General features: G+C 42.9%; 1 protein-coding gene and 1 long non-coding RNA gene across 10 annotated transcripts in view; both read right to left on the bottom strand.

Annotated features, from left to right (window-relative positions):
- TSNAX-DISC1 (TSNAX-DISC1 readthrough (NMD candidate)) overlaps positions 1-18,864 on the bottom strand; it is a 512,620-nt gene that overhangs the window by 116,311 nt on the left and 377,445 nt on the right. The window lies entirely within an intron of this gene.
- DISC1 (DISC1 scaffold protein) overlaps positions 1-18,864 on the bottom strand; it is a 414,483-nt gene that overhangs the window by 116,311 nt on the left and 279,308 nt on the right. The gene's annotated exons all lie outside the window — the stretch shown is intronic.

The following is an 18,864-nucleotide window of genomic DNA, read 5'->3' as shown; positions in this document are numbered from 1 at the left end:
AAAAAAGGCCGGGCGCAGTGACTCACGCCTGTAATCCCAGCACTTTGGGAGGCCAAGGCAGGCAGATCACGAGGTCAGGAGATCGAGACCAGCCTGGCTAACATGGTGAAACCCCGTCTCTACTAAAAATACAAAAAATTAGCCAGGCATGGTGGCAGGCGCCTGTAATCCCAGCTACTCAGGAGGCTGAGGCAGGAGAATGGCGTGAACCCGGGAGGTGGAGGTTGCAGTGAGCAGAGATCATGCCACTGCACTCCAGCCTGGGCGACAGAGTGAGACTCCATCTCAAAAAAAAAAAAAAAATTGTTGCAAATGTCCATATGTTGCAACATCATGGGCAGTAACTTCACTCTTCAGAATAGCCAGAGAACTCCTATCTCTAAAGGAGAATCAGGATTCTCAGTATCACCGGATCTTTTCTTGCCTTGAATTGTTCACATGACCACATTATCCTCATTTCACCCACACAGATACATTCACACCCACCCCCAACACACTCTGCTGAACATCGCACAAAGGCTTCAATAGATTTTCCAGGAGAAATATTTTTGTCCCGTAACTATGGCACTCATATGTGCCTTCTTTGACAAGAAAGCCCCTTCCACTTCCGGTTCCAACATCATGAACAAACACACAGCCTCCTTTGTATGTACAGCTGTTCGTGCTCGGCCACAAAGGGCCCAGGAGCAATACATGGGGACTGTCCTCCCAAGAACAGATGGGACCCGCAAAGGAGGCAGGCTTTACCCTGTGCCTTTCTTTTCCAGGATGCATTCCTTTGATTGATGGTTGCCTGTATTCACTGGGGAAAAAGTTCATCTTTTTCACTTTAGATGTATTTATACGACAAGCTCTTTAAATTCTGTGATTCAATCATTACTGAGCTTTCAGGGAAAATATAGCGATGTTGAAATAAGCGACCCTTAAGCCCATAATACAGAAGAGAACAAGTAAAGGAACACAGCAGGACTTGTCAAATGAATGCAAATGAATGCTCCGTTGTACAACTTCAGAAACCGAGCACATAGCCCCTAAGCTCCCATCACGCCTCCTCTGGTGGAAACAATTCTCTGGCCCAAAAACGAAGCTGTTCAGAAGCAGAATTCTTGTTTCTGGTTCTCAGGCTACTCCAGTTGGCACCATTCTATGCCATATACAAAGGCGCCACAGGAGGATCTTGAAAGCCACAGCGCTAACTTTCAGCATCTCCTCTGCATGATGGAACACATGGAATCACACACATCCTAACAAAAACCAAGTCTCAGCAGAGACGTGTTCTTGGGAATAAGCCCTAGGAAACAGCGTCAGCGTGCCTTGTGCAGGGTGAGTCTGAAAGTGTGCAAGTGTTTGTGAGAGGTCTTTAGCGTGGAAGCCCATACTGGGTGAGGTAATATCCGCCTACGGCAATCAGTGACTAAGGATTCCTTTCTAGGCCCCAAGGCAAAATGTTGCAGAATAAAAAGAAAGAGAAGGCCAGTTTTTGAAACAAAATTTAAACTGGCAGCAGCCTCGAACACCTGGTAAATGGGTAAGCTGGAAGGGAGGGCACTGAGGGCAACTGGACAGGGCCCCAGGGAGCTCAAGTCCAAGATTTTACTACCTGCCAGGAGGGCTCAGCGAAAACGGATTTCTTTTTCTTTTTGTTTTTTTTTTTGGTTTTTTTTGTTTTGTTTTTGAGACAGAGTCTTGCTCTGTTGCGTAGGCTGGAGTGCAGTGGCGTGATCTTGACTCACTGCAACCTCTGCCTCCCCAGTTCAAACGATTCTCCTGCCTCAGCCTCCAGAGTAGCTGGGATTACAGACGCATGCCACCACACCCAGCTAACTTTTTTTTTGTGTGTGTGTTTTTAGTAGAGACGGGGTTTCACCATGTTAGCCAGGATGGTCTTAATGTCCTGACCTCATGATCTGCCCGCCTCGGCCTCCCACAGTGCTGGGATTGCAGGCGTGAGCCACCACGCCTGGCTCAGACTTCTTTTTTGAATCAGTATAGGTATGTTAAAACCATTTTGGCTGTTTTAAATGTATAAATATTGCATTTTCTCAAGTTGGGAGTTTGTGGCTTTAGTTCTCAGTGCCACTCAATGATGTTTAGAGGTTGAATTTTCTAAGTGAGGTGAAAACACAGAAGGTGCTCTGAGGAGCGCCTGCTGGAGAGCATCCTTCCTTCCTGGGGGAGCTGGGCTCAAAAGGCCAGCTGGAAGGGTATCTCACCTGGAACCCAGAGGGAGGGTGCACTCACCAGGACGTGTCCCCCTCCAGCCCTCCAGGGTTATCCTGGCTGGCCTGGAGGGCTGGGTGGGGTCACTCTCCTGCCTCAGTGATTCCCAAATGCATCACTGTGCACCCTGTGTTCCATCCAGAAGCACCACCCCACAGGCAGCCATCTAGCCAAGTGGTTAGGACAACTATTCCCACTGGAATCAGGATGTCCCAATGCCAAGCCCTGCTCTGCTGCTTGCCAGACATACCCCCTTGGATGAATGTACCTTATCTGTGCCTCACATTCTTCATCTGTGAAAGGGAATAATGTTAGGACAAGCTTCGTGGGCTCAGTGTGAGGATTAAATGCAACAATACAAGTAAAAACTGGAGACTAGTACCTGGAACACAGTAAGCAGTTCATACGTGTTAGCAACTATTGCTCTCTTTCTGCCATGAAAACTGCTCTGCAGCTCGACATCTAAGACAAGGTGCATGTCTGTCAGATGCTAGATATTTCATAGCAGGAGCTGTAAGTGCAATATTTCCTTTACCTCTCATGGTGATTCCATGGAGAAGGCATTCATGCTATTCTTTAGTCACGGATGAGGAAACTGAGACTGAAGGTATGTGACTTGCCCAAAGTGCATGGCAGAATCAGGATTCACCCAAATTCCCAAGCCTCAGGGACAGTTTTAGGTGGCCGCATTCTATTAACCTCAATCATGTAGAAATTATCCACTAACTGGCTTTCTCTGAGTGATAGAAAAAGCAAAAAGGCAGATGGTGATCAAAGGGTAAAAAGTTTCAGTTATGCAAGATGAATAAATTCTGGAGATCTATTGCAGAGCATGGTGACTCTATGTAATAACAATGTGTCATATACTTGAAAACTGCCCAAAGAGTAGATCTCAAGGGTTCTCATCACACTCCAAAAAAAAAAAAAAAAAAAGGTAACTAGTGAGGTGATAGACATGTTAGTTAGCTGGATTGTGGTAATCATTACACAACATATGCATACATCAAATCATCACATTTTATACTGTAAATACTTAAAATTTTTATTTGTCCAGCATACCTCAATAAAGCTGGGGAGAGGAGCAGAAAGGGCAAATAGAAATAATTTGAAATAGGACACAAGTAGCCAGTGAGGATCCCAACTTGTTTCTTTAAGTTGACTTTTTGAAGAATCCAATCATTTCACATATTATAAATATATTCATAATATAAAAGTATGATATCATAAAATTATAATCATAATATGATTTGCTCTGTAAGTGCTGTAATAAGCGTGAATTTACCAGAATAAAATGGAAAAGAGGCAGGTCAAAAGGAAGGGTCAGTATCTCTATCACCCTTCCCAAACTGAGAACAAATTGAAGCTGACTGACACATTTAGGGTATGTAGATGTTATGGTGCCCACATTTTTCCATGTGCTCTTCACTGTGCTGGAAGTCTTGGAAGTCATATGTAAGTTGCATGGGAAGGTATGACCACGGTCCTTGGAGCCCTGAGCCAGTGCCCAAGCAAAGAAAGCAGTCCAGCTGGCCGGGTGCAGTGGCTCACGCCTATAATCCCAGCACTTTGGGAGGCCGAGGCGGGCAGATCACGAGGTCAGGAGATTGAGACTACCCTGGCCCACATGGTGAAACCCCGTCTCTACTAAAATACAAAAAAAAAAAAAAATTAGCCAGGCTTGGTGGCGCATGCCTGTAGTCCCAGCTACTTGGGAGGCTGAGGCAGGGGAATCGCTTGAACCCAGGAGGTGGAGGCTGCAGTGAGCCGAGATCACGCCACTGCACTCCAGCCTGGGTGACAGAGTAAGACTCCATCTCAAAAAAAAAAAAAAAAAAATAGCAGTTCAGTCCTAGGGCAGTGGTTCTCAACCAGGTAGCATTACCCAATAAAATAAAACACAACTTGCCCAGTTAACTTGAACATCAGATAAACAATGAATAATTTTTTAGTATAAAAGTATGTACTAAAATTACATGGGACATATTTACACTAAAAAATTATTCCTATGCACCAGTGGTCATAGCAGCATCGTTCACAATAGCCAAATGCGGGAAGCAACCCAAATGTCCATCTATGGATGAACGGATGAAGGAGATGTGGTTCATTCACACAGTGGAATGTTATTCAGCCTTAAGAAGGAAGGAAGTTCTGACATGCGCTGCAACACAGACAAACCTTAAGGACGTTACACTAAGTGAAATAAGACAGACACAAAAGGGCAAATACTGTATGATTCTACTTACATGAGATACCCAGAAGAGTCAAATGCATAGAGCCAGAAAGGAGAACGGAGGTTGCCAGGGGCTGGGAGAGGGGAGGATGGGGACTTAGTGTTTAATGGGGACAGAGTTTCAGCTAGCAAAGATAAGAAAGTTCTGGAGATGAATGGTGATGATGTTTGCACAACAATGTGAATGTCCTTAATGACACTGACCACTTACAAATTTTAGCCACTTAAAAATGGCTAAAATGGTAAGTCTTATATTCTGTGCATTTTACCACAATAAAAACAATTTGTATGGTTTATCTGAAATTCAAATTTAACTAGGCACGCTGTGTTTTCATTTGTTAACTCTGGCAGCCCTATATCCCCAAGGGACATCTGGCAAGGTCTGGAGACATTTTTGATTGTCACAACTGAGAGTGGGGGAGGGGAGGCACTAGCATCTAGTACGTAGAGCCCTGGGTGCTGCTAAACCTCTTACGATGCGCGGGACACCCCCTACAGCAAAGAGGTGTCTGGTCTAAAACGTCAATAGTGTCAAGGCTGAGAAGCTCTGCCCGAGAGAGGCAACAGGGAAACCCTCACATGATTTTCCCTAAGACCAAAAAATTTTAATTTAAGCCACTGACTGCAAATGACAGATGTCAACAGGAAAACACAAGTATACAGATCTGATTTGTATCAAGGCACACCTGAAATTATTTGTAATCATTTTGCCTATTATTTTAATACACAAAATTCTGTGCATAAAACCATATTCTGTGTATAAACAAGTGTATTGTGAGACCACAATAGCTATTACACATAGCTAAAAATAGCAGCCCTAACAGAACTCATTTTGGCTGAGCCTGATACAGATTAAGAGCTTATCAGAAAAAAGGTCTTTCTGTCCAGTCTCAGCCTCAGTATACTCGGTGAGGCACTATAGCCACAAAAATAAAATTAGGAGATTAAACATGAATTTAAACCAAATCCCCACAGCAAAGTTCCCTGACCGGGCCAGAAAGACATACACTTAGACTGCTGTGACAAAAACATCCACAGGAAAGCCAGCGTGCCTGGGAGAAACTCAGCTACGCCCATTTGACCTGACATTCACTTACTAAACCTTTTAAGCATTGGAGGAAAAAGAAATCCACCCAAAACTTGAAAGCAAGCATGGTAAAGTCTTAAACCTGTTTTTGACTATTACAGCTGATAACACAAATGAATGGTGTTTCATTAATGCTGACTTAAGAATCAAAGTCAGAGTAGCAGCTTATTGTCAAAGCTGTTTTAAGAACAACAACAAAACAAGATTAGTGCCACTGAGCTGGTATAAATTATACTCGTGATCTGTCAAGAAAAATCAATCAGTGAGGACAAAACTGGTATTTTCTGCTTCTTAAAAACCATCAGGTTTCATCCATCAACGAAGACTTTGAGTGCAACCAAACAGGTAAAATATGAGGGAAAACAAATGATGGATGAGTTAAGCACTAGGACTGGAAAATTATAAATTCTTAAAATTGAGGAGCTTCATGGAAGGTTATACTTGGAAACTTCTTTACAGAAAAACTCTATTGCATAGGGAATGGAATGTAGCAAACACATACAGAGGAAAGGAAACCTAGAACCAAAATTAGGTCACAAAAGAATATTTGCAACTGTGGTTTCCGGAGGTGGGCGCTGGTGCACGAAGCCTTCCAGGTATGAAACTTTGCCTTTGTTTTCTTCTCACTTCCCTCACGTTCCTTCCTTCCCCCCATGTCTCTTCCTTCCTGCTGGGCTTGTTCTCACAGCCCTTGCAAGCATGCAAAGAGTCACTAAAAATACTGAGGAATCCTCAGAGCAAAAGAGATATTTTTCTCCTAACTGAGAGTACTACAAGATAATTGCAGGTGAAATACAAAGTTTAAAACCATCTTCAGATTTCACAAGTGTTGTATTCCAAAATAATGTTCTATAACCAGTTACTTGCAAATGCACATCTAACACAGACATGTTGTATGCACACAGGCACCGTGAGGGCTGCCATCTCATTTAATTGGAATGCAACCATCAACAAGGTCCTCCTACCTCAAACACAACCCACAACCAGGAACTAAATCTGAAAGGCTTCTTGGAGACCAACAAAGAGGTCAGAGAGTGTATGTATGAACGTTATTGATAGGCTACCATTCAGCTCTGAGTCTATCCTCTGTAATCTCACATGAAATTCCAAATCATCTTGGTTCTCTCATCTCTAAGATCCTAACAGATGAAAACAAACAAATTAAAGTAGGAAAAAGCTGAAACAGAGAGAAACACTGCTTGCTGGCACAAATATAGCTCATAGCCTGGAAGGAAGGGACAGGAGAGAAAAGGGAAAATGACGAAGAGCCGGCACAACCTAAAACACCACAGTCCCTGCGGCCTTCTAACTAAGGGGCCACAGCCACACACCACTCCACAGACCCTGAGGATATGACTGTGAGGACAAAGTCATGAACATGCATCAGATGTTCTAGTTCCAATGCTAATTTTTGCTGTTTTAGTGTTTGTAGTGTAACTACAAGCCATTTAGCCTCCCTCAACCTCAGCTTCTTCAATCATAAAATGAAGATAGTCAAGTTGCCTTTCCAGATCTCCACGTTGAATATGAAAGCAGTCTAAGAACTAAAGTGTGATAACATGTACAGGTGAAGAATGTTATTTAATTAATAATCAGTAGACGTACTATTTACCCTAAGTAATAAAGAAGAGGCTAGATTATAGTCCATGTCCAGAGGTTAGATTATGTCCTTTAAGGCGGGGAAGAACAGTGAGGGGCAGGCTCTCTGCCCATCTTGGGGTCAGCTGCCATGCTCGCCCCACTCCTGCCCCATCGCTGGCTTCCTCTAGCATGCAGTGTGCTGGAGGAGACAGCCCACAAGATCCAGAGCAGGAAGGAACTGTCAGTCCTGGCGCTCACTCGTTCTATGTAGCCTTGGAAAGTGAACATAGCTCTCCTAACTTCACTTTTCCTCATTATAAAAATGCCTGCCTATGTGATTCTTAATTGTACATTATTATATTTGGAGCCATTGATACTACATAAAGCATCTGAAGACTCTAAAACACTCCCCAAATATAAGAGTGATCGCTTCGCTTCATATTATTCAAGGCATAAGGCAATAGCACATACCTGGATTCTCTTTATGGAAAGTAAGATATAATGCATTCGGCGAGAATGAAATACACTCCTCAAATTTGATTGCATCTCGATAGAAGAGAATGCCTTTCAAACAATCTGAATTATTTAGTAATGCCGCAGGGAAAAGGTAGGAGGATTGTTCAGCAAGTATGTTAGAGAAATGAGTCCTTCAGGAAGTGGAAGGAGCATTGGAATCCTAATATTTCCAACACTTAAGGTTTTTAAAATTTTGTTTTTAATGGTTTAATGACAAGGTATCTGTATTTTAACATTATGATAATTCCTTACAAATTTTCCATTTCCATTTCTATGTCGTACCCCGAAAGAGGGTGTAGATGGCCCAACTAGTTACTAAGAAAGGGCATTTTGGAGACAATGGAATCCACATAAAAAGTAAATCCTATAAAGATGCCAACAGAGTTTATAACTGGAGAGGAGGAGCTCAAGGGACAAGATCCCAGCAGGGAAGGTTTCTAGGTGCACAGAAACTTACCTGCCCAAAGACCCATCCAAATGACAGTGCTTGGCCAGGTAGGTGTCACACAGGAATAAACTTGTCCAACAAAGTTTAGCCACTGGAGCCAAACTGAATTTATCTTCTCAAGGAGAATAAACTCATTGTGCACAGAATTTGCATTGCTAAGAAGAGCAATGGATTAAATAGAGCCCTGGCAACTCTTCGGAACTTTCTTTTTTTTTTTTTTTTTTTGAGACGGAGTCTCGCTCTGTCGCCCAGGCTGGAGTGCAGTGGCGGGATCTCGGCTCACTGCAAGCTCCGCCTCCCGGGTTCACGCCATTCTCCTGCCTCAGCCTCCCGAGTAGCTGGGACTACAGGCGCCCGCCACTACGCCCGGCTAATTTTTTTGTATTTTTAGTAGAGACGGGGTTTCACCGCTTTAGCCGGGATGGTCTCGATCTCCTGACCTCGTGATCCGCCCGCCTCGGCCTCCCAAAGTGCTGGGATTACAGCTCTTCGGAACTTTCTGAACACAATTTAGATTGTGGATATTTGAAGGAAAGAAAAAAAGTGTAATATCAAATAAGCCTCAGGTTAAATGCAATGTGCTTCTGTAGGTCACAGAAGGCAGGCTGCACTGTGCAAATACCGTAAGGGAAAAATGACAGAGATTTGAGACCTAAAAAGTAAGAATGCCTCTAAGAAATTCTGACCCGTTGATGCTACAAAGCCCCCCAAGTTGCAGAAGTCAGTTAGGTAACTTCCATTTACAAACTGTCTACTCTTTCTCACCTCAACTTTCTTAAAGGAAGTTAGTGAGACTTCCTTCACTGTGTATATTCTAAATTGTTTCGTGGAAAAGAGCTACTCTTCGTAATCCTGTAAAAGCAGCTGCTTTCAGCTGTATAATCCACCCCCTGCAAGAAATACCCTTGGGCTCCTGTAAATACAGATTCATGTCAGTCAGGTCCACTGAGATCCACGACCTTGTTATCCCCATGATCTCTGGCTGTGAAGGCTGAGCAGAGGACTGAGCCTGGCCAGAGCCTGCTGACACCCTCCAATATCCCTTCTCTTCTGCATCCACATAATAGTGGGGTTTTGTTTTTATTTTTGTTTTTGTTTTCTAAGATGGAGTTTCACTCTTGTTGTCCAGGCTGGAGTGCAACAGTGTGATCTCAGCTCACTGCAACATCCACCTCCCAGGTTCAAGCGATTCTCCTGCCTCAGCCTCCCAAGTAGCTGCGATTACAGGTGCCTGCCACCACGCCTGGCTATTTTTTTGTACTTTTAGTAGAGACGGGGTTTCACCATGTTGGCCAGGCTGGTCTCAAACCTCAGGTGATCCGCCCACCTCAGCCTCCCAAAGTGCTGGGATTATAGGCGTGAGCCACTGCGCCTGGCCCACAAGATAGTGTTTTGAGCCGAGCTTCCCAGAATACATCTGTTGGCCTCCTCTGCAGCTAGCCGTGGCCCTGGCCAAAGACCCATGAGTGGGAGTGTCATTGGGCAGCTTCTGGGGACCTTCCTTAAGGGACAACATTCAGATGTCCCTTATGCTTTGTCCCTGCTTTCATCCTGCCACCTAGAGTGTGATGTTTCCATAAGCCATGAAGTTGAAGCCACACAGGAAGTAGAAAGATAGAAGCTGCACAATCCCCTGAAACCATGAGGCACCAAGCCAATCCTGGACTGCCTATCTGTGCTTTCATATGAGAGAAAAAAAAACTCAGGTATATTTTAAACAAATATTATTTGGGGTTTTCTGTCAAAAGTAACCCAATGCTAACAACTATAACGTCAAAAACAAGTAGAAGAGATGGCTGGAGGCGCATAGTTGGTCAGCGTAACACATTTCCTCTTTAGGCAGAAGAATCTAAACAAAACAACCTCACTAGAAAGAACATAAATGCTTTTCAACTACCAACTCCTTGTTGCCTCACCTATTTCATTCTTTATTAGCCCTCTTCTGCAGCCAAGCTAGGCTCCTGACTGGTACAGGACAGTATACACAATTCTCACATTCCTGTCTTGACTATCATTTGCTCTCCACCAAAAGTAGCCTCTCATTTTGTCTTTGCCAATACATATTGATCACATCTTGCAAAATGTAGGACAGAAATGTCGTGGACTTACAGTGCAAGCTGTTTTTCTCCATTACTGTCCCACCCTGGGGGAAGCCATCCCTTTCCCTCCACATGATAAGTTGGAGATGACAAGCATTTGCTCGTGTCCCTGTATAATCACGGGGACGGATGTGCCACCCAAGCTGAGCCAGTCAGAGTCTCCCCTGAGACTGACAGACAGGAACTAAAAGAAAAATATTTCTTCCTGTGGTGGGGACAATAAGGCAAAGGATAAAAGTTGGAGGCCACCAAAAGCTACCTCAATGGCTATTTTCCTTCCCACATGGTGTGACCGGTTTGCAAAAGAAGCCGAGCAGAGCTGTGACAAGGATGACCAGTTAACCACCCAATAGATATTCTCTCCATCATAGCCAAGCTTTTATCCTACCCCGTGTACTTAGATAAAATTAAATAAATAAAAATAAAACAAAAACAACTAGATTTCAGCTCCGCTTGCAGACAGGGTTTCCAGGGGACACAACAGTATCCAATGGGATGTAAGTGTGAGCTACTGGTTGAGCTTCTGAGAAAGCTACTTACTAGAGAAATACATTCATCTCCTATGCACCTTTTCCTCGTGAATTCACTCTGCCTGGAACACAGATGTAATGTCACAGGTGGGGCAGCCGTATTGTAAACAGAAGGCGGCAAACTGTGCTAGGGATGGGCGGAGTGGAAAGATCAAAGGACCCAGGGTCTCAGGGACTCGCCATGCCAGCCCTGGGCTGTCTCCCTCCAGAACTCCTTCCTTGTTGCAAGAGAAAAATAAATCCTCAAATTGTTGAAGCCACTGGGTGGGGGCTTCTGTCACTTAGAGCTGTATGAAATTCCTAACTGATGCAGGATCTCTCACACGGAAACAGAATGTCACAAGTAACAGAACCAAGATGGAAAAATGGCTGAGGAGAGGAGATGGACACTCGGCATGTGGACAATAATGTTGCTGGCTGGAAATCTGGTTTCTTGCATGTTGGCAAAAATGTGAGGAAACGGTCACCTACTGCAACCCGGAAATACTACTTGTCAAAGGAAGCTGTGATACTGGGGAAATCAGAGGAAAGAGTCAGAGCATTGGCATCTGCAGTTCCTTCTTGACATGAAAATGAGAAGTAAACTCAGATGACTGCTGGCCAGGCTGCAGGCCCAGAACCAGGGCAAGGCACGAGAGGTCCCCAAGACACTTGTAAAGAGGCTATCACCCTCAGGTGCCTGTCCCGCATTTCCACAACCCTGAGAGTGACGCCTGCTTAAATGGTGCAGCCCAGGCACCTCGGCTGCCTCACCCTTATCCTGCTACAATCAGGGAAAGAAGGAAATGTACAGAAGGAAAGGAATACAGCCCTTCCAGGAGACGCCCTTGGCTTCACCAAAGCCTGCAATACAGGCTAGCTAGTCCCAAAATTTGAGGTCTTCATGGCTGAAAGTGTCAATTTCCACTCTACCCCAACATGAAGCATTTATAAGCATTAGCCATAATATGACAGCCTTATCAAGAAATAAAACTTGTGCCCCACCAGCCACTGGGGGCAAGCTAGATGGCAAAGATGGGATTACAGCTACTGTCCTGGCAGAGGGACAAAGCATGCGAGTAAAAACAAGATGCTTTTTTGGGAAGCTGAGGCTGGTGGATCTCTTGAGCTCAGGAGTTTGAGACTAGCCTGGGCAACACAGTGAAACCCCATCTCTATAAAAAATACTGTAAAAAATTAGCTGGGCATAGTGGTGTGTGCCTGTGGTCCCAGCTACTTGGGTGGCTGAGGAGGGAGGATCACTTGAGCCTGGGAGGTGGAGGCTGCAGTAAGCCAAGATGGAACCACTGCACTCAAGCTTGGGTGACAGCAAGATCCTATCAAAAGAAGAACAGAAAGAAAGGAAGAAAGACAGAAACGGGGGTGGAAGGAAGGAAGGAAGGAAAGAAGGAGGAGGAGGAGAAGAAGAAAAAGAAGAAGAAAGGAAGGAAGCAAGGAAAGAAAAAGAAAGAAAGAAAGAAAGAAAGAAAGAAAGAAAGAAAGAAAGAAAGAAAGAAAGAAAGAAAGAAGAGCAAGCTGCAGACTTAAATGTCCCTGTCTGACAGCTTTGAAGAGAGTGGTGGTTCTCCCAGCATGCAGTTTAAGATCTGAGAACAGACAGACTGCCTCCTCAAGTGGGTCCCTGACTGCCAAGTAGCCTAACTGGGAGGCACCTCCCAGTAGGGGCAGACTGACACCCCATATGGCCAGGTGCCCCTCTGAGACGAAGCTTCCAGAGGAAGAACCAGGCAGCAATATTTGCTGTTCTGCAATATTTGCTGTTCTGCAGCCTCTGCTGGTGATACCCAGGTAAACAGGGTCTGGAGTGGACCTCCAGCAAACTCCAACAGACCTGCAGCTGAGGGTCCTGACTGTTAGAAGGAAAACAAACAAACAGAAAGGACATCCACACCAAAACCCCATCTGTACATCACCATCATCAAAGACCAAAAGTAGATAAAACCACAAAGATGGGGAGAAACCAGAGCAGAAAAGCTGAAAATTCTAAAAATCAGAGTGTCTCTTCTCCTCCAAAGGAACACAGCTCCTTGCCAGCAATGGAACAAAGCTGGACGGAGAATGACTTTGACAAGTTGAGAGAAGAAGGCTTCAAACGATCGGTAATAATAAACTTCTCCGAGCTAAAGGAGGATGTTCGAACCCATTGCAAAGAAGCTAAAAACCTTGAAAAAACATTAGACGAATGGCTAACTAGAATAAACAGCATAGAAAAGACCTTAAATGACTTTATGGAGATGAAAAACATGGTACGAGAACTATGTGACACATGCACAAGTGTCAGTAGCTGATTCGATCAAGTGGAAGAAAGGGTATCAGTGATTGAAGATCAATGAATGAAATGAAGCGATAAGAGAAGTTTAGAGGAAAAGGAGTAAAAAGAAACAAACAAACCTCCAAGAAATATGGCACTATGTGAAAAGACCAAGTCTACGTCTGATTGGTGTACCTGAAAGTAATGGGGAGAAAGGAACCAAGTTGGAAAACACTCTGCAGGATATTATCCAGGAGAACATCCCCAACCTAGCAAGGCAGGCCAACATTCAAATGCAGGAAATACAGAGAACGCCACAAAGATAATCCTCAAGAAGAGCAACTCCAAGACACATAATTGTCAGATTCACCAAAGCTGAAATGAAGGAAAATATGTTAAGAGCAGCCAGAGAGAAAGGTCAGGTTACCCACAAAGGGAAGCCTCTCAGACTAACAGTGGATCGTTCGACAGAAACTCTACAAGCCAGAAGAGTGGGGGCCAATATTCAACATCCTTAAAGAAAAGAATTTTCAACCCAGAATTTCATATCCAGCCAAACTAAGCTACATAAGCAAAGGAGAAATAAAATTCTTTATAGACAAGCAAATGCTGAGAGATTTTGTCACCACCAGGCCTGCCCTAAAAGAGCTCCTGAAGGAAGCACTAAACATGGAAAGGAACAACCAGTACCAGCCACTGCAAAAACATGCCAAATTGTAAAGACCATCGAGGCTAGGAAGAAACTGCATCAACCAACGAGCAAAATAACCAGCAAACATCGTAATGACAGGATCAAATTGACATATAACAATATTAACCTTAAATGTAAATGGGCTAAATGCTCCAATTAAAAGACACAGACTGGCAAATTGGATAAAGAATCAAGACCCATCAGTGTGCTATATTCAGGAGACCCATCTCACATGCAGAGACACACATAGGCTCAAAATAAAGGGATGGAGGAAAATCTACCAAGCAAATGGAAAACAAAAGAAAGCAGGGGTTGCAATCCTAGTCTCTGATAAAACAGACTTTAAACCAACAAAGATCAAAAGAGACAAAGAAGGCCATTACTTAATGGTAAAGGGATCAATTCAACAAGAAGAGCTAACTATCCTAAATATATATGCACACAATACAAGAGCACCCAGATTCATAAAGCAAGTCCTTAGAGACCTACAAAAAGACTTAGATTCCCACACAATAATAATGGGAGACTTTAACACCCCACTGTCAATATTAGACAGATCAACCAGACAGAAAGTTAACAAGGATATCCAGGACTTAAACTCAGCTCCACACCAAGCAGACCTAATACACATCTACAGAACTCTCCACCCCAAATCAACAGAATATACATTCTTCTCAGCACCACATCGCACTTATTCCAAAATTGACCACATAGTTGGAAGTAAAGCACTCCTCAGAAAATGTAAAAGAACAGAAATCATAACAAACTGTCTCTCAGACCACAGTGCAATCAAACTAGAGCTCAGGATTAAGAAACTCACTCAAAACCGCTCAACTACATAGAAACTGAACAACCTGCCCCTGAATGACTACTGAGTACATAACGAAATGAAGGCAGAAATAAAGATGTTCTTTGAAACCAATGACAACAAAGACACAACATACCAGAATCTCTGGGACACATTTAAAGCAGTGTGTAGAGGGAAATTTATAGCACTACATGCCCACAAGAGAAAGCAGGAAAGCTCTAAAATTGACACCGTAACATCACAATTAAAAGAACTAGAGAAGCAAGAGCAAACACATTCAAAAGCTAGCAGAAGGCAAGAGATAACTAAGATCAGAGAAGAACTGAAGGAGATAGAGACAAAAAACCCTTCAAAAAATCAATGAATCCAAGAGCTGGTTTTTTGAAAAGATCAACAAAATTGATAGACCGCTAGCAAGACTAATAAAGAAGAAAAGAGAGAAGAATCAAATAGGTGCAATAAAAAATGATAAAGGGGATATCACCACCGATCCCACAGAAATACAGACTACCATCAGAGAATACTATAAACACCTCTATGCAAATAAACTAGAAAATCTAGAAGAAATGGATACATTCCTGGACACATACATCCTCCCAAGACTAAACCAGGAAGAAGTTGAATCCCTGAATAGACCAATAACAGGCTCTGAAATTGAGGCAATAATTAATAGCCTACCAATCAAAAAAAGTCCAGGACCAGACGGATTCACAGCCAAATTCTACGAGACGTACAAAGAGGAGCTGGTACCTACCATTCCTTCTGAAACTATTCCAATCAATAGAAAAAGAAGGAATCCTCCCTAACTCATTTTATGAGGCCAGCATCATCCTGATACCAAAGCCTGGCAGAGACACGACAAAAAAAAGAGAATTTTAGACTAATATCCCTGATGAACATCGACAAAAATATCCTCAATAAAATACTGGCAAACAGAATCCAGCAGCACATCAAAAAGCTTGTCCACTAGGATCAAGTGGGCTTCATCCCTGGGATGCAAAGCTGGTTCAACATGTGCAAATCAATAAACATAATCCAGCATATAAACAGAACCAAAGAGAAAAACCACGTGATTATCTCAATAGATGCAGAAAAGGCCTTCGACAAAATTCAACAGCCCTTCATGCTAAAAACTCTCAATAAACTTGATATTGATGGGATGTATCTCAAAATAATGAGAGCTATTTATGACAAACCCACAGCCAATATCATACTGAATGGGCAAAAACTGGAAGCATTCCCTTTGAAAACTGGCACAAGGCAGGGATGCCCTCTCTCACCACTCCTATTCAGCATAGTGTTGGAATTTCTGGCCAGGGCAATCAGGCAGGAGAAAGAAATATAGGGTATTCAACTAGGAAAAGAGGAAGTCAAATTGTCCCTTTTTACAGATCACATGATTTTATATTTAGAAAACCCCATCATCTCAGCCCAAAATCTGCTTAAGCTGATAAGCAACTTAACCAAAGTCTTAGGATACAAAATGAATGTGCAAAAATCACAAGCATTCCCATACACCAATAACAGACAAACAGAGAGCCAGATCATGAGTGAACTCCCATTCACAATTGCTACAAAGAGAATAAAATACCTAGGAATACAACTTACAAGGGATGTGAAGGACCTCTTCAAGGAGAACTACAAATCACTGCTCAACAAAATAAAAGAGGACACAAACAAATGGAAGAACATTCCATGCTCATGGATAGGAAGAATCAATATCGCGAAAATGGCCATACTGCCCAAGGTAATTTATAGATTCAATGCCATCCGCATCAAGCTACCAATGACTTTCTTCACAGAACTGGAAAAAACTACTTTAAAGTGCATATGGAACCAAAAAGGAGCCCACATTGCCAAGACAATCCTAAGCCAAAAGAACAAAGCTGGAGGCAACACACTACTTGACTTCAAATGATACTACAAGGCTACAGTAACAGCATGGTACTGATATCAAAACAGAGATATAGACCAATGGAACAGAACAGAGCCCTCAGAAATAATACCACACATCTACAACCATCTGATCTTTGACAAACCTGACAAAAACAAGAAATGGGGAAACGATTCCCTATTTAATAAATGGTGCTGGAAAAACTGGCTAGCCATATGTAGAAAGCTGAAACTGGATCCTTTCCTTACACCTTATACAAAAATTAATTCAAGATGAATTAAAGACTTAAATGTTAGACCTAAAACCATAAAAACCCTAGAAGAAAACCTAGGCAATACCATTCAGGACACAGGCATGGGCAAGGACTTCATGACTAAAACACCAAAAGCAACGGCAACAAAAGCCAAAGTTGACAAATGGGATCTAATTAAACTAAAGAGCTTCTACACAGCAAAAGAAACTACCATCAGAGTGAACAGGCAACGTACAGAATGGGAGAAAAGTTTAAAAATCTACCCATCTGACAAAAGGCTAATATCCAGAATCTACAAAGAACTTAAACAAATTTACAAGAAAAAGTCAAACAACCCCATCAAAAAGTGAGCAAAGGATATGAACAGACACTTCTCAAAAGAAGACATTTATGCAGCCAACAGACACATGAAAAAATGTTCATCATCACTGACCATCAGAGAAATGCAAATCAAAACCGCAATGAGATACCATCTCATACCAGTTAGAATGGCGATCATTAAAAAGTCAGGAAACAACAGGTACTGGAGAGGATGTGGAGAAATAGGAACACTTTTACACTGTTGGTGGGACTGTAAACTAGTTCAAGCATTGTGGAAGACAGTGTAGCGATTCCTCAAGGATCTAGAACTAGAAATACCATTTGACCCAGCCATCCCATTACTGGGTATATACCCAAAGGATTATAAATCATGCTACTATAAAGACACATGCACACGTATGTTTATTGTGGCACTATTCACAATAGCAGACTTGGAACCAACCCAAATATCCATCAATGATAGACTGGATTAAGCAAATGTGGCACATATACACTATGGAATACTATGCAGCCATAAAAAAGGATAAGTTCAGGAGCCCACATGTCCTTTGTAGGGAAATGGATGAAGCTGGAAACCATCATTCTCAGCAAACTATCACAAGGACAGAAAACCAAACACTGCATGTTCTCACTCGTAGGTGGGAATTGAACAATGAGAACACTTGGACACAGGATGGGGAACATCACACACTGGGGCCTGTTGTGGGGTGGGGGGAGTGGGGAGGGATAGCATTAGGAGATATATCTAATGTAAATGATGAGTTAATGGGTGCAGCACACCAACATGGCACATGTATACATATGTAACAAACCTGCACGTTGTGCACATGTACCCTAGAACTTAAAGTATAATAAAAGAAAGAGAAAGAAAGAAAGAAAGAAAGAAAGAAAGAAAGAAAGAGGAAGGAAGGAAGGAAGGAAGGAGAGAAGGAAGGAGGGAGGGAAGGAAGGAAGGGAGGGAGGGAAGGAAGGAAGGGAGGGAGGAGGGAGGGAAAGAAAGAGAGAGAGAGAAGAAAAAGAAAGAGAGAGAGAAAGAAAGAAAGAAAAGAAAGAAAAGAAAGAGAAAGAAAGAAAGCAAAGAAAGAAAAAGAAAGATTCTTTAGGCTTAAAAACCACATCGAGACAAAATTTGTAATGTAGTTATTCACTCATGGGATTGACTGGGAGGATATAAAACATAAGCCCCTTAATTTTTTTTTTCCTTTCTTCTTGTGCTTCCTTTTTTCTCCCCTAATACGTACGCAGCTCCTGTTTTACCTTCAGGGAGCCAAATATAATTACTAAACATGGTCACAATGTCTGCCAAAAAGCACGGTGGAGCAATAAGGGCAAGGCACCCTCTAACCTGAACGGCTTTAGAGAATCTACTTAATCTGTTACAAAGCTTTAGGAAGGACAGTGCCATCACAATCACCCAGCTGTAAATATCTAGCACACTGGCCTGACTTTTCTTTTTAGTTTAGTTTAGTTTTGTTTTTGTCCTTGCTTTCACACACAGCTGCCTTATCACTGGGAAACACCTATATTCACCCTGGACTTAATCCATATCCCTCGTGCATAAAGCACCCCCTGGGATATTTTAAGATCCCCAAACTCACACATGTGAGTGAATTCAGTAATAGTAGGGATGCTATCCTCAAGAACAGGCAAAAATATCAGGCATTGTACTTACGTCTCTCTCACTGATTCATGGATCAAAATCCATGCCCTTGACCGGGCATGGTGACTCATGCCTGTAATCCCAGCACTTTGGGAGGTCAAGGCAGGCAGATCACCTGAGGTCAGGAGTTCAAGACTAGCCTGACCAACATGGAGAGACCCCATCTCTACTAAAAATACAAAATTAGCCCGGCGTGGTAACGCATGTCTGTGGTCCCAGCTGCTTGGGAGGCTGAGGCAGGAGAATCACTTGAACCTGGGAGGCAGAGGTTGCGG

Source organism: Homo sapiens, chromosome 1 (assembly GCF_000001405.40).
Source record: "Homo sapiens chromosome 1, GRCh38.p14 Primary Assembly".
In the NCBI taxonomy this organism is placed as follows: Eukaryota; Metazoa; Chordata; class Mammalia; order Primates; family Hominidae; genus Homo; species Homo sapiens.
Note: the sequence above shows the minus strand (reverse complement) of the source record. Positions and strands in the feature narration are given on the sequence as shown.